Source organism: Homo sapiens, chromosome 17 (assembly GCF_000001405.40).
Source record: "Homo sapiens chromosome 17, GRCh38.p14 Primary Assembly".
Classification (NCBI taxonomy): domain Eukaryota; kingdom Metazoa; phylum Chordata; class Mammalia; order Primates; family Hominidae; genus Homo; species Homo sapiens.
The window spans coordinates 10,597,950-10,614,045 of record NC_000017.11 but is presented as its reverse complement, the minus strand read 5'-3'; the positions used below and the strand labels follow the sequence as shown (position 1 = coordinate 10,614,045).

The following is a 16,096-nucleotide window of genomic DNA, read 5'->3' as shown; positions in this document are numbered from 1 at the left end:
CATGCTCCCTTAGCCAAATTCAGAACAGTAACCACTCCCTCCCTGCCAAGTTGACTCATCTAACCTCAAATAACCCTCATAAGAGTCTGACCCAGAGCTGTGACAATACCCTAAATCAGACTCTTCTTCCTTCACCCTATTCCTACCAAGAAGTAAAGAAATACTCACAGAGGCTCCTCTTTCCACGACGGGTTAGATGTCAAACATCCTCTCCCTTCGAACATCCAAATGCTCTTGGAGTTGACAGACACATGCTGTGCCTGCGGGTTTGCATTTAAGAATGTTTTGAGAACGTTTGCTCCTGAAGGAAAAGAAGGGAAAATATTCTTGTAGGATTATGCAATTTTAGAGAAAGGGAAGCTGAGCAGGTCCTTGACATGAGCGCTACAGACTATTTTAAGAAAGGGGAGAGGAAGGATACAAGGAATCAAAAGGTTTAACACTGCTTAGATCAGAGAGATCACAAAATATTTGTGGGGGATTTATCACAAAGATGGAATTTAGCTGACTGAATGATATAAGATGCTGAAGATAGCAATGCAAGAAGAAAAGATTTCAGCCTGTTTCATCACTCCAGGAGAAAGGCAGAAACACACCAGAGAGGCTCGCAGTGGAGTGACCTTATGAGGCTGGGTCAAGCGAAGGCGTGAGGGCTGAGACCTGATCTCATTTATGTACCTATGACCAACTTTGCAGACATGGGGGGACTGGAAAGGAAATAATGGTTAACATGAGAGTTCAGGATCAGAAGACAAAGTGTTCAGCAGTCACCTGGTGGCCCAGCCACAGAGCCCAAAGGGAGCCACAGGCACATTAATGGGCCATGGAATCTATAAGAGGCAAACAGGGGCCCTATCTAAATATTTCTCAAGGTTGCCATGGGCTTGGCACAATGCCAATCATAATAATCCTAAATCGTAAAGAAAAAGTAACATGCTACTAACTGCACTCTGTTTAAGAGGATAGGAAACACAAAAGACCCCGCATTGTATGAGTCCATGTGAAATGCTCAGAATAGGCAAATCCACAGAGAAAGAAATAGATGAGTGGTTTCCAGAAGGTGAGAGAAGGGGAGAATGGGGAGTGAGTGCTTAATGAGTATGGAGTTTCTTTTGGGGGTGTTGAAATGCCCTAAAATTAGCTTGTGGTGATGATTGCACATCTCAGTGAATATACTGTCGTAAAACCACTGAACTTTTAATAGGTGAGTGTTAATGGCATGTGAAACATGTCTCCTCAAGCTGTAAAATAAAGAGGGGGGGGGGGGTATGTAATGCAGCTTCTAAATATCCCATTAGAAATTACTTCAAACCTCAACAACATAAAGGGATTAGATTCATTTACCTGGAGAATTCCCAGTGTGGGAAATTTCATTCTCAGGTAATGCTAGAAAAATGAGGTGTTTCTATATAATCGTCAGAGTTGAATTCAGTAAAGTAAAAAGATTACAGAAAGAAAATATAAAACATACCCCCAATTCCGTGGAAATGCAGATTCTTACAGATGGGACTCAGAAGATCACGTGGCCATTCAGATCTAATCTCTCATTTAATGGAAGAAAGAGCAGTCTAAAACAGCACAAAATATCTGAAAATAAAAATAGTCTCTTTGGTATCCCAGTTCATCCATGCCCCTCCCTAAAGTAAGCACTGTTTACAGTTTCTTGTGTGCCCTTCCATGAATGTTCTATTCACATACAGGTACCTACACACACACACACACACACACACACACACACACACACACACACACACTTCCCCTACAGTCCAGTCAGACTGAAGGTATAGGAGAAGAAATATATAAATTAATTTCAAAGAAGAGCTTCCTGAATATATGAGCAAGTCCTCAGAGTTACTCTAACTTTGTTTTTTTTTTTTTTTTTTTTTTGAGACAGAGTCTCGCTCTGTCGCCCAGACTAGAGTGCAGTGGCACGATCTCGGCTCACTGCAAGCTCCGCCCCCCAGGTTCACGCCATTCTCCTGCCTCAGCCTCCCGGGTAGCTGGGATTACAGGCGCCCGCCACCACGCCCAGCTAATTTTTTAATTTTTAGTAGAGACGGGGTTTCACCGTGTTAGCCAGGATGGTCTCGATCTCCTGACCTCATGATCCGCCTGCCTCGGCCTCCCAATACTCCAACATTTTTACATGGTGGAAGCACTTCCTTTTATTTAAACACACTCAGAAATGGGCAGGGAGTGGTGGAGCCTCACATGTTTAAGCCTGCAATCAGAGGTTGGCAACCTATTTGCACATGAGTGACTCTGAGTGACACACCACTGCTCCAGTCAATGGCCTAAAAAGATGTGCCATGCACACAGCTCCGTTTGAACCTGCAGCGGCACCTTCCACACTTTCCTCCAGACAAATACCAGCTCCTAGGTAACAAAATACATCTCTGTTTCTCCTATCCTAGGTTTATGTGGAAGCCCTCAAGTTATACTATGCGGGCGGTGGAAGACAGAGATGGTACTTGGAGGATTGCGGCCGACACGCACCGATGGAAGCTTCCATTTTCATGGGGGAAAATGCAGCCCTGGCAAGGTGCACAGGGAAGGTGGCCAAATCTGCGTACAGTGGCTAAGCAGTAAAGGTGCTGTCAAGAAAATCACTGTTGGGTACATTCAAGGGGGCAATGGTGACATAATCACAAGGTTCCGCTTCAAGATTGGCTTCCAATCAACTGTAAAGTGAAATATTCGTCTGGCAGGTAATGTGTAGCTCAATGCAAGAACAAGGCTATTGCCTTGAAATATGGTACTGAAATAGAAGGAATACGGTCTCCAACTTGCAAAGTCCCCTTGAAGATTCTTCACCCTCCGAGGTATTTTTAGTCATGGTAATTGTAGATGGTGGGCAAAGTGCTAGAGCCCTCAAAATAAGATGGCTCTTAAAAACGTAAGGTCAGCAAATGCCATCTCCGTAAGTCAAGCCTGCAAGAAGGATGGGATTAGCTGTCTACAGGGCAGCTTTCCAGAAGTAACCCGTCTTGCTTGAGTGATTTGGAGTGACCTTGCAGAGGAGATTGAAGTGTTTCTCTTGAGTATGTCATTAGCAAGCGGCAAAACAATCCAACACTTAGGAAACTGTGTGTTATGGTAACAAGAGTGCAAACGGCAAGGTAGTGGTCGTATGAGTATTTGCAAAGGGGAAGGTGGAAAATGAAAATCTATCAGCGTGTCACCAGGAGGTCCAACACCCACTACGATTCTGGATGACTGATCCTGACACTTTACATAAAAACAGGCTTACAGAGAAGGAGGTCCAGCCATCAGACCTTCAGAGCTTGATGGAAATTGCACATAAGGAGCTCCAACTTTTGGCTGGGCGCGGTGGCTCATGCCTGTAATCCCAGCACTTTGGGAGGCCGAGGCGGGAGGATCATCTGAGGTCAGGAGTTTGAGACCAGCCTAGCCAACATGGTGAAACCCCATCTCTACAAAAATACAAAAATTAGCTGGGCATGATGGCGGGTGCCTGTAATCCCAGCTACTGGGGAGGCTGAGGCAGAAGAATTGCACGAACCCAGGAGGCGGAGGTTGCTGTGAGCCGAGCCACTGCACTCCAGCCTGGGTGACAGAGCAAGACTCCGTCTCAAAAAAAAAAAAAAATCCAACTTTTGTTCTGTGCTCACCAAGCGACCTTCTGATATTGTTTACCACAAAGAGAATGTTCTGGAACAGAGTTTGGTTTCACTTCCTGGACCCAGAAGAGTTCCCTTAATAAACTAATAATCAACTGGAATTCTGGTAGAAAATTCAGTGCCTTGCGAGTTTGGTTAGTATGGACCAATTTCTGACCACTTGATTAATTCCAGATGCCCTAGTAAATCACATTCCTGAGCTCCAACCTATCATTCTTTCATCTAACATTTATTGAGCACCTACTGTCTACCAAGCACTATGGTAGGAACTGGTGAAAGCCAGATAAAGGACACAGCCTCTGCCCTCAGGGAGCTTTCAGACCAGTGTTGACCCAATCCTGGAGTGTGAGAAACATCACGCTTGTTATGGCTGAGCCTGAAAGGGACAATGAGCCTCCTCCACTGCTACTGAATCAGAACTTACTTTGCATTTACAGTCTATCCATGGGATCAGAAAATCAGTCAACCTTAGATTTGAAAGGAACCTCAGACATCACCTTACTTAGTGACTCTCAATGCTACCTACACATGACAATCACTGGGAGAGCTTTTAAAAAATACTGATGCTGGCCGGGCGCGGTGGCTCACGCCTGTAATCCCAGCGCTTTGGGAGGCTGAGGAGGGTGGATCACCTGAGGTCGGGAGTTCAAGACCAGCCTGACGAACATGGAGAAACCCCGTCTCTGCTAAAAATACAAAATTAGCTGGGCATAGTGGCGCAAGCTTGTAATCCCAGCTACTCGAGAGGCTGAGACAGGAGAATCGCTTGAACCCGGGAGGTGGAGGTTGCGGTGAGCCAAGACCATACCATTGCACTTCAGCCTGGGCAACAAGAGCAAAACTCTGTCTCAAAAAAAAAAAAAAAAATACTGATGCCTGGCCTAACCCTGTCCCTACCCTAAGTTGTTGATGAAATTGATTTGAAGAGGGCCCCCAGATGCCAGCATTTTTCATTATTTGTCCGGGTGATTCAAAGGTGAAGGCAGGGCTGAGAATCCCTGATCTAGTCCAATGCCTGCATTTTCCAGGGGCTAAACTGAGACCCAAGGAACTGAAAGAATGTGCCCAGAAAACATTCACTCACATAAATTCAGGGACTTATCTAGGACCCTAAGTCAGAGTGTGCTTTGCTTCAATCAGTGTCTCCCAGATCTAGTCATTTGAATACAGTCTTCCCAATACTGTCACAGCCACATGCATCTCTATGTACTTTTTAACTTATTTATTTATTTACTTGTTTTGAGACAGAGTCTCACTCTGTCACCTAGGCTAGAGTACAGTGGCGTGATCTCGGCTCACTGCAACCTCCGCCTCTGGGGTTCAAGTGATTCTCCTGCCTCAGCCTCCTGAGTAGCTGGTATTACAGGCGTGCGCCACCACGCCCAGCTAATTTTTGTATTTTTAGTGAAGATGGGGTTTCACCATGTTGGCCAGGCTGTTCTTGAATTCCTGACCTCAAGTGATCTACCCACCTTGGCCTCCCAAAGTGCTGGGATTACAAGTGTGAGCCACCACACCCGGCTTCTATGTACTTTTTTTAAAAAATGATTTTTAAAATGTAATGCTGTTTAGCCTTGTCTTCAGCAATAAAATCTGTAAAATACACCTTAAAATTAAGAACAATTAAGATGCGATGGACTTCGCAGTCGACCACCTTAGCTCCTGCTGTACATCACGCCTTGTGCATGTATCACACTTTAAAACACAGAAGACTGAGGTACTGGGAGTGCTGGGAAGACTTGGGGAAATTTAGGGCAGGTGTTGTAGACCTTTGTCCTGAGTTACTCACATGTAGGGCTGAAGAAGCTGCAGGTGACCACATGTACCAGGCAGCAGCTGAACCTCATGGAGTCTGTCAGTCCTCGGCAGCACTCAAATCCTCAAACGGGGATTAATGATGGAATTGGAGCGAGGAAGGAGGGGGTGACAACCGGAGGATTCATTTTACCTCTTCTGGAAAGGCTACAGGTCACCCTGTACCAACAGACTATTAAAATGAAGCTGCCTATCCATCACCTGGAATCTGCTGGTCCAAACACGCTGAAATTGATCTAGCAGGAGGGGAAAAATACCATTACAGAAGGCTCATAAAGTCACAGCACAGTAATGCAGCTTACACTAGAGGCCATCTTTCAGCCTGGGTTTAAAGATTCAGAATTTTAAATTTATTATTCTACTTACCAGGACTTATTTTCTTTTCTGAATAAGCTCATTAATCTTGATAGGTTGTTTAATATATTCTAAAGTGATACTCAATATTCTGAGAGAAAGGAGAGAAAAAAACAACGTATTCACCTGTCTCAGTTGAGCTTCAAGATAAGTTAGTTCTTTGAGTTTGAACAAATTCTCCATAATCAGGGCTTTAATTAAGAGGTTTCCCAGTTTTTAAATTTGGGAGAAAAGCGATGAAAGGAATTGGAGAATTTGTACTCTGGTAAAATGAGATGACCTGGAATCCTTATCTAAACCAACAAATCTAAAGAAAACCTAAGACCTTGTTCAATTCTCTTTTTCTCTCTCACTTTTATATTTAAAAAGACTGTTCAACCAACTAATTTCCTAGCAATTCCATTCCTAGGAAAGTCCCTTGGATGGATTCTGATTCCAGTGCACAAGAAGACATAAAGAAGGATGTTCAATGCTTAATTTTTTATAATAGAGAAAAATTAGAAGTACGTTGAATGTCCATCAACTGGATAAACAGGATAGATAAATTGTGGTAGAGTCATATATGAAATGCCATACAGCCATGAAAATGAATGAATAAGAGTTATATATGTCTCAAAAATTGATGAAAAGCAGCAAAAAATATATATATAAATATATATATTATATATATAAATATAAATTTTTTATATATAAATATATATATTATATATAAATATAAATGTTTATATATAAATATATAAAATATATTTTTATATATAAAAATATATTTAAAAATATAAAAATATATATAAAAATATAAAAAAATAAATATATATTTATATATATTTTTAATATATATAAAAATATATATATGTATATATGTATAGTGCCATACTATTTAGGTATAGTTTTAAAATATAAAACAATAGTGCCTAGTGCTTATGGACATAAACACATATAATAAAAGTGTAAAGCACTGGGCAGGAAGATACACACCAACTTTAGGGAGACAGTTGCTCCTGGATGAAGGCAGGAGATAAGTACAGTATTTTATTATTGCAATTATTTTAAAGATCTGAAGCAAATATGAAAAATGACATTTGTTAAATCTAGATGGTGGGTCATGGAGACTTATTAAATTATGTTTTCAAACTTTTCTGTCAGTTTGAAACTTCATAGTTGAAAAATAAAGTTATTTAAGCCATTGAAGCCACTGAGTCAAAAATATATACATGAATTCCTTGGGTAGAAATATCTGATTATGACAGAAAAGCCTGCCTTCTCCTATTGAGAGACAAATGCAAAACTCAATGTTTCTTAGGGATGCAGACACAAAGAAAATTGGCAGAAGGAATTTGCTAAGTTGTTAATAAAATAAAGCCCAAGGGCCAAACACGATGGCTCATGCCTGTAATCCCAGCACTTTGGGATGCCAAGCTGGGAGGATCGCTTGAGCCCAGGAGTTCGAGGCTGCAGTGAGCTATGATCGCACCATTGCACTCCAGCCTGGGTGACAGAATGAGACCTTGTCTTTTTTTTTTTCTTTTTTTTTTTAAGTTCAACTAAAAATTTTATATAATTTAAAAAATAGTGAGATAAAAGTATTCCACTTCATGAAACAGCCTTGCTTTTTAAAAACACATCGCAAAATAATTCTTTTAACTTTCTTTCTTTCTTGAATTTGCTTAAAAAGTTAAAAAAGTAATAGGTATTCATTTAACAAGTCAGGCAATACAGAGACAGTTAAAGAAGACTATATCGCATCTCTCATTTCAATTCCAACCCCAACCCCCAAGTTAACCTAGATCAACAATTGGACATGTATCTTTTGGTCCCTTTCTTTAAAAAATGTCTAAAATAGTTTTGCAAAATTTTTCAAACCAATTCAATTTTTTGTTGGATGTTAAATATTTAATTATTAATAATTATTAATTAATAATAATTAATTATTAATAATTAATTATATTTTTTAGACAGAGTCTCACTCTCTCATCCAGGCTGGAGTGCAATGGTGCATTTGGGGTTCACTGCAGTCTCAACTTCCTGGGATCAAGTGATCCTCCTGCCTCGGCCTCCTGAGTAGTTGGGATTAAAGGCACAAGGTACCACGCCTGACTAATTTTTTTTCTGCTTTTTATAGAGATAGAGTCTTGCTATGTTGCCCAGGCTGGCCTCCAACTCCTGGCCTCAAGCGATCTTCTCATCTTGGCCTCCCAAAGTGCTGAGATTACAGGCGTGAGCCACTGCACCTGGCCAATTCAATTTTTATAATTAAAAATCATTATTTTTTTCATGACCAAAGCAATCCATAGTTGTCATAGAAATATATAGAAAATCCAAGTGAGTAAAACCAAGGTAAAATAAAAATATGTAAATGGGCATGCCTTTTAATTCATGGCTTCGGTAAAATACATATTTAAATCCTGAATCAAAGATTTAGGACAAATGCCACTTGCTAGCACACAGGTGGCTAGCTTCATTTACAGCAGTTGCTTAATGATCCCCCAGGGGAGTCAGGCAGAATGGCGCCACTTTAGGAGGGGTGTAATTTGTGTTGCTAAATCACTACTCATACCCTGAGGTTTAAAGAAGGGTGCCATCCTGGTCCCCTAGAGTACAGCAGAGGGTGCAGGCCGAGAAAGGATGTTCCACTCCCTTCCGCCAGCCTGCAGGACTGCCGTGGCTCTTCATGTCCCCCTTTGGTTTTCCTTACTCCTCCCCACCCTCCTGTCACTGTCCTCCTGTTCTTCTCTTCACCACCTCCCTCCCCCTCCTCCTTCTCTTTCTCCAACTGGCAAAGGAAGTGTCCATGTCACTCCCCTCTAGGGTAACTGGAGCCCTTCAGCTGTTTGGGTGCCTGTTTGAAAGGACATCTCAGCATCACCCAGGGCTCCCGGGACAGCCAACCTCCCAGAAGGCTTCATCTGTCAGAGCAGGAGCTTACTTAGAATTCCTTACAAGAACACTGCAAGAGCAATTAAAATAAGTTATCTTAGGTGATGAAAAAAAAATATCTCCAGAGGAGCCTCAGTCCCTTCCTGAGACTTCCATCTCAAAATAAAACTTCGCCCTATACCAGTTTGGGGGTGGGGGTGGGCACTCACCATGCAGACCTGGAGGGTGAGCAGGGAGAAAGCTGCAAGGAAAAGATGAAAAGGCAGCACTATTACTCCAGAAAGAGGGTGGTAAGGCAGATTTAGGGAACAGGAGAAGAGTGTGAACATCTTAGGCAAGAACTGCGTTAGCCTTCACCTGCCAAGAGCTTCAGAGACTGGGGGTGGGACTGGCCTGGGTGAGTGAATGGTCTTTTCTCTTTTCTCTCTTTTCTTTCCTCCATGCCTTTATTTCTTTCTTTTGCACTTCTGCTCAATCTTAAACCCCTTCTCCAAAACAGGTTATTTGGAAATAAATTAGCATCACCAGCCTTGCCCCGAGCTATTTGGATAGGCTTCCGCAGGACAACTACTGGTGTAAAACGTCAACAACTCCCATAGAAAGTGCAACACCAAGAGTGAACCCTAGTGTACACTGCGGACGAAGGGCGATAATGATGTGTCAATGGACTATAACAAATGTACCACGTGGTGTGGGATGTTGATAGTCGGGGAGGCTATGCTGTGTATGAAGGCAGGGAGTATATGGGAAATCTCTGTACTTTCCACTAAGTTTTGCTATAAACCTAAAGTTGCTCTAAAAAATAAAGTGCATTAAAATATTTTTAAATTTCAAAAAAATTTTTTTGTAGAGATAGGATCTCGCCATGTTGCCTAGGTTGCTCTTGGACTCCTGGCCTCAAGCGATCCTCCCACCTTGGCCTCCCAGAGTGCTGGGATTAAAACATTTTTTTTAAAGTCAACCACCACTGCCAGGAGACAGAAATACACACCATTCCCACTTGTACAATGCAGCTATTAAATAAACAAAGACATTAAGGGGAAAGAAACAAGGACTTTCAAGACAGTCCCCAGGGTCTAATATCAGTAGGCACCTAGTAATCGATGTGGGGACAAGGAGCCTTGGCTGGGGGCCACGTGCCCTTGCCTGGTGCCAGGATCCTTTGGCATTATCATTTTACACAGGGAGATGCAAGAATGTCTTTATAATCCAAGGCTTGGGCTCTCCCTCCTTGATCCCCATGGGGTAAGAAATCTGAGGACAGAATGAGCCTGCCAGCCATGTCCTCCTGACATTGCAAATCTGGCCAAGGGATGGGGCTGAACTTGCAAATCCCTCCGGGGCTATTCTCAGAAACCAAGTGATGGGGAAACCTGACCTCAGCTGATCTACCTGATATGCTGGGTTTCTCTACTGACCCTGACCAAGGTAATGTTATTATCAATCATACGTTATTCATCAGATATTATCAATCATGTATTATTACAAACTCAGCATCTGTTGATTACTTACCGTGGGCCAGTCACAATACTGAGTCCTTCACATACATTCTTTTACTTGCTCCTTTTGCTCCTACTTAAGACATAGGTGCCATACTTATCCCTATTTAACAGATAATGAGCCTGAGTGAGGACTGAGGTTTGGAGAGAGTAAATAATTTGCTAAAACCACAAATATTAAGGTTTGGAGCTCAGAAAGTCACTCAAGTCTTCCATGCACCAAGGTCCACACTCTTCCTTCCTACATCCCTCTCTTGGGGTTTCAATGTTGTTATAGCTGTAACAATGAGTGGGAGGGAGAGCCCTTTAGGTTTTACTGGTCAGTTGCGTCTGTTTCATAGTGTCCACAACTGGATTAGCTGAAGACCCTTGACTCCCACCTCTACGTATCTCTCCAGATTCTTCTGGGTTCACTCTCCCTGCCATACCCTATACAGCAGCCACCCTGGACCACTGACTCTTCTCCAGACTTATCGAGCTTTCCTACCACTCCATGTGGTATCTGGTGCTCATGTGGTTCTACCTTCTGGGAATGCTCTTTCTCCATTCCCTGTCCACAAATCCGTCTTTCAAGAATAAATTGCAATGTTGTCTCCTCTTCAGGGAAACCTTTCCTACCCTTGCAAGAATTACTTTTCGTGTCCCCACTGTGTTCCTGCCACACTGTGAGACACTCTCAAATCTAGCTCCTAACATATTGCTGTTTGCTACCTTTTTTATTCATGAGTCCTTCCCACTAGACTCTGTGGGGGCAACAGTTGTCTACCTTATCTTACTCACTTTCATAGTGATTAAGTACCAGTCCTATCATACTAAATGCATCTTGGAGGCTCAAAATATCTATTGTCCTATCTATTGTATGAGTGAATGTGTAAAATGAGCTTTAATTAGGAAGTATAATGAGGACTTTCGAGATGAATGGTAGCATAGGATTTAGTTTGCATTTGCAGAGTCTATGGCTCACAGCAATTGGCTCAGAGTCACACTACCCAAAGCATGAAATAATAAACGGGGAAAGCTAAATTAAAACCAGTGTAAGTGCATTGAGCAAACATTTAGCATTAGATTGGAACCTCCTAACTGAATTTTTATGTGGTCCAAGATGGAAGGTTTGTCATGAAAACTGGCTATGGTGACACGTAGGATTTAATAGGAAGATTTTTATTCAGAAGGATTTAAGGAGACTTTCCCCGTCTATTGACTTCCAATAGTCAAATATTTCTTTTTGGGACCACGTGAAAAAGACAGGATATCACTTATTCTGGAAATTAGTAGAAACCAAATAGCAATGAGTTCTATTTTAACTGCTTGGCAAATAATACTCCTTCCTAATGTGCCCCCATGTAGCTATGAGAGACTTCCCAGTTCATTCCAGACTGGGTTCTACACCAGCCAGAGAAACCACAGACTGTGTTTGCACAACGGTCCGTTGGTTGCCTGGCGTAGAAGCCATCTGGACCGTGGGTCCTGGGATGTAGGAGACCCTCTGATGTTACCGACTGGCCAGTGCTTTGGGGGTGTGACTTGTGAAGCAGGAAATATTTGGGGAATTTAGCCCCCAAACTGGACTCCAATTCAATTGGCAAACAGGTGTGTCAAATGATTAGGTCCATCACTAACATGTCTGTCTAAGCTCAAACTCTATCTGAAGCATTGCCCACTCAGATAGTAATTGTGAGGTGGTAACGGGATAAGCCAGAAGGTGTGGACCCTACCATTTCATCCCAACTCTTCTTCCCACCTTCATCAGCTACATATTATTGTACACACAATATGAAACTCTGGCCACCACCAGGTCATGGATGGACCTGACACTTAAATTCAACTGGTAAAAACAACAGGGTTGTGTTAATAAATGCTGTTGGGCAAAAATAAAACTTAGCTCTGAAGTTCCCTGACTGGTTGTTAACAAATGGAAGTTCTCTGCACATGTATTCAGCTCTGGACTGCCATCAGCAGTGCTAACAGCAGCAGAGTGCTGAGAATGAGGATCCTTTTTAGGAACTATCACTTGCAAAGCATCTACTTTTTGCTGTTTAGGAAAAATTTGGCCTCTTCGTAGGGTGAACTGGTTTGTCTTGGTTTCATTGGAAGGAGAGCATCGCAGTGCTTTTTCCATATTGGCCTCAGTTTCTCTATTTGAACACGGCGGTCCCAATCTTTACTCTTTAATAATTCCATATTCTAATCCACTGCCATAACACTGAAAGAAGAAATTAAACATTTCAAAAATGTAAACATTTCAAAAAAAAAAGTAGTTTTTTTTGTTTTTTGTTTTGAGATGGAGTTTTGCTCTTGTTGCCCAGGCTGGAGTGCAATGGCAGGATCTTGGCTCACTGCAACCTCCGCCTCTTGAGTTCAAGCGATTCTCCTGCCTCATCCTCCTGAGCAGCTGGGATTACAGGCACCTGTCACTACGCCCAGCTAATTTTTGAATTTTTAGTAGAGATGGGATTTTGCCATGTTGGCCAAGCTGGCCTCAAACTCCTGACCTCAGGTGATCAACCTGCCTTGGCCTTCCAAAGTACTGGGATTGCAGGCGTGAGCCACCATGCTCGGCCTACAGTAGTTTTAAGCTTCTTTCGTTGCCACTGAAAACCAAAGTAGGCATGAAGTTTCAACTCTCTTTTTTGTTTTGAGGAGGTGGGGATGTTTTGTGGAGGTTCATGACTTTAAGAAACCTTTTGATTCTATTCTTTATTAAAACTGATACTCTTGAAAAGTGATCTTACCACATTATTGCTTCTATGAATGGACAGTCTCTTCCATACGCTAAAAACACCATGCCAGTAGGGATTACTTTGAATGAGTTTAACACAGGCTTCTCCATGGGAGAATGCAAGAGAAGAGCCAGATGGGAGCCCTGGAATTAGTACAACAATAAACTCGGCAGCAGGAGAGGTAAAAGAGGGCCCGCTAACATGATGGAATGCTTTATCTACATTCCAAAAGCTTAAAAGAGGTGCCAGCCTTGGAAATCCCACAGTGGCGAGGACAGGGACTGGTCACACTGCATTCCCACTGTTGCATGGGTAAAGTTTAATATACAATGACTTCTGGCTTCCTGCCTGCTGAGCCATGCTGTAGGAATTGTCTGAAATTACTGAGCTGCTTCCAAAAGTTCCAACCATTTCCTATATGCGATTGCACTTAACTGTACAACGTTCCTCCGGAAGGGAAGTGCCCTGTTCTTACTTCATTCAATGAATGGTGACACCAAACCTTGGAGACAGATATTTGAGAGAAGCTGGCTCAGCACAGACTAGCATGTAGGAGATGATGGAGTTATTTTGTCCATTCTGGTTCTGCTGCAAAACTGCTGTCGGATCAGAGATAAGGCATTCAGTTACTCAGTGAAAATCCATCCACACATTCATCAATTTGAGTGCCTATAAGTGCTATTACTGGGCTGGGTCATGGAAGGAAGACAGGCATGAAAGCTATCCTTATGGAGCTAAGAGTCTTGCAGCTGATTGCTTTATTATGTGCTAGATGATGTAAGAGAAATACAGACATCTTTTAAAAAAATCCTTTGCCATCTAGGAAACCTATGATCACCCACATGCCAAGCTCCTTCCTACCCCAGGGCCTCTGCACTTGCTGTTCCTTCTACCTGGAAGGCTCTTTCCCCTCATTTTTGCATGACTGACACCTTCTATCATACACATTTCAAGTCAAATGTGTTCTTCTCAAGAGATCTTCACTGAGCAGCCTCTCTCCTCCTTAGTCGCTTTATCACATCATCTTGCTTCATTTTCTTCACTCTTTGGAATCATTGAATTTGTGTACAGTACTTATTTGACCTGCCTCACATATTTGAAGACAAGCTCCATGAGAACAAAACTTGTTCATATCACCGGAACCAGAAGAATGCCTGGAATATAGTAAGTGCTCAACATACATATACTGAGGGCAGGTACAATACCACCTTTCATAGAGAAGTACCTTATGAGCACAACAGACAAGGTTTTGCAAACATGCAAAGGAGACTCAGCACTGTTGATGGGGTTGACTTGCGAATGAAAATCTAGATTTTTCAGAAATGTCAGAAATTTCTGAAAAATCTAGATTTGGATCTGGATGATAGCGAATAAAATAAATGAACTGGTAGGGGCCATATGAGGGCAAGTTAGCAGAGCATGAGTAAAGACTCAGAAGAAGAAAGGGATTTTCATAAGGGAAAGGATGCCAGTGTGGCTGGGAGCAATAGTTTATGGGAGAAAGCAATGAGAGATGAACCTGTAAAGAGAGGTTGGACCAGCTCATGAAGGGGCAGGCTTCAATGCCAGCTGCAGAAATTATTATTCCAGATGGGAAAAGACTCAAGAATATCCAGTTGCATCCCTACTGAATAAAATCCATGGTGTTTTTTTTTAAAGGAATGACCATCCAAATTTCTCAGATAACATATAATATTTAGACCTGTCTTTTCCTACTTAGAATGTAAGTGCATCCATGGGAGGCTAGAGAAAGGAGAAATAAATCCACCTGTAGTCAACTTGTCCAGAGCTCTCTCAAACCTGCTACAGGGTGAGCAGCAATGAGGTCCTGGGTGGGCACAGAGAGATGAGGTCGACAGTGTGTGCAAGGCATCCATGGAAATGGCAGGCACATCACATTTAATCAGACTTACTACCTAAGAACCATAAATCTATTGGCAGCTCTGGGACTTAATAAAAAGTAGATTACCAAGGAGTTTCACTTTTATGAGAACTGGCTTTGCCATTTAAGACAGTTTAAAGTAGACGAAAATAAGGCAAATAAAAACCTTTGTTCTGCCACCATTTTGGAATAACAGAATATCGATTAAAAATCTAACAGTGGAAAGATAATCTTTTCTTGCTATTTTCTTCTTCTTTTAATATATAAGCCAAGTGGAAAACACTGAAAAGGGTCTGTGTGCATGGGGAGAATGACACTGCAGAACTTAAAAACAGAACCTGATGATGCCTAAGAGCACATGTGTAACACTTGAAGCTTCCTTGACATAGATCAGCTTCTGTTTGCAGCTCAGCAAACCATATGCTATATTCACTCACTCCTCAAGGATCATCTGCTCCTTTCCAAGTATTAAGATGTCAGCGAAAATCTACCTTCTGGTGAAATTTAATCTGCAGGAGAAGAGCTGCTGATGCTCATAAAAATAGCTGTCAGATGTTATGACTCCTCTGAGACACATACGACAAAGAAGGGGTCATGGAGCCCAGGACAGAAGAGTAAAACCACTTAGAACCCTTGAAGGCTGAGCAGCCCAGAAGCTCTCAACCTGGGGTCAGGAAGCCCTAAGGGGTCTATGAATGGGCTTCAGGTTATCTAGAAATTCCTTCAAATTGAACAAACATATTGTGCCTTTGTGGGGGAGGGGAAACTTTTGTCAGATTCTCAGAGCTTCATGACCAAAAATTATTAAGTATACCATAATATATCATCAATCTAGTATATTATTTCCACAGAAATTTTTTTCACACCCCAAAATTATTTTTTATTGCTCAAAAAATTCTTGGATAATAATCTTAGCAGAAATTTTAAAATTATAGATAAGGCTGAAGTCTCTTTGTCCACACCTCCATTCCGGATGTTTCCCCCACCACATTTCACGTAGACCATAAATTGTATTTGATCCATGTGTGTGCAACTTGCCTTTGCATTTCACAAGGTCTTGGGGGCAGTTCTACACGTGCACATGTAGAGCCACCTCATCCTTGTCACTTGCTGCTTGGACTCTATAGTAAGGCTGGCCTCAGTATACTCAGGCATTCCTCTAGTGATGGACACTTGGGCTGTTTCCCACTGCAAAAACAGCATGATGCATATGAATATCTTTTATTCATCATTTTATGCACTAGTACAAGTGTGTGCGTGCATGTGGTTTTTGTTTGTTTTGCTGTTGTTTTTGAGATAGCATCTTACTCT

At 42.0% G+C, this 16,096-nt stretch overlaps 1 long non-coding RNA gene across 1 annotated transcript in view; it reads right to left on the bottom strand.

Moving 5' to 3' along the window:
- MYHAS (myosin heavy chain gene cluster antisense RNA) overlaps nucleotides 1-16,096 on the bottom strand; it is a 242,409-nt gene that overhangs the window by 11,495 nt on the left and 214,818 nt on the right. Inside the window, exons 6-10 of the long non-coding RNA NR_125367.1 lie at nucleotides 15,824-15,973; nucleotides 5,823-5,901; nucleotides 5,431-5,692; nucleotides 1,472-1,587; nucleotides 169-301 (exon numbers count right to left, since the gene is read on the bottom strand). This is a non-coding gene — a long non-coding RNA (myosin heavy chain gene cluster antisense RNA). The remainder of the gene's footprint in view (nucleotides 1-168; nucleotides 302-1,471; nucleotides 1,588-5,430; nucleotides 5,693-5,822; nucleotides 5,902-15,823; nucleotides 15,974-16,096) is intronic.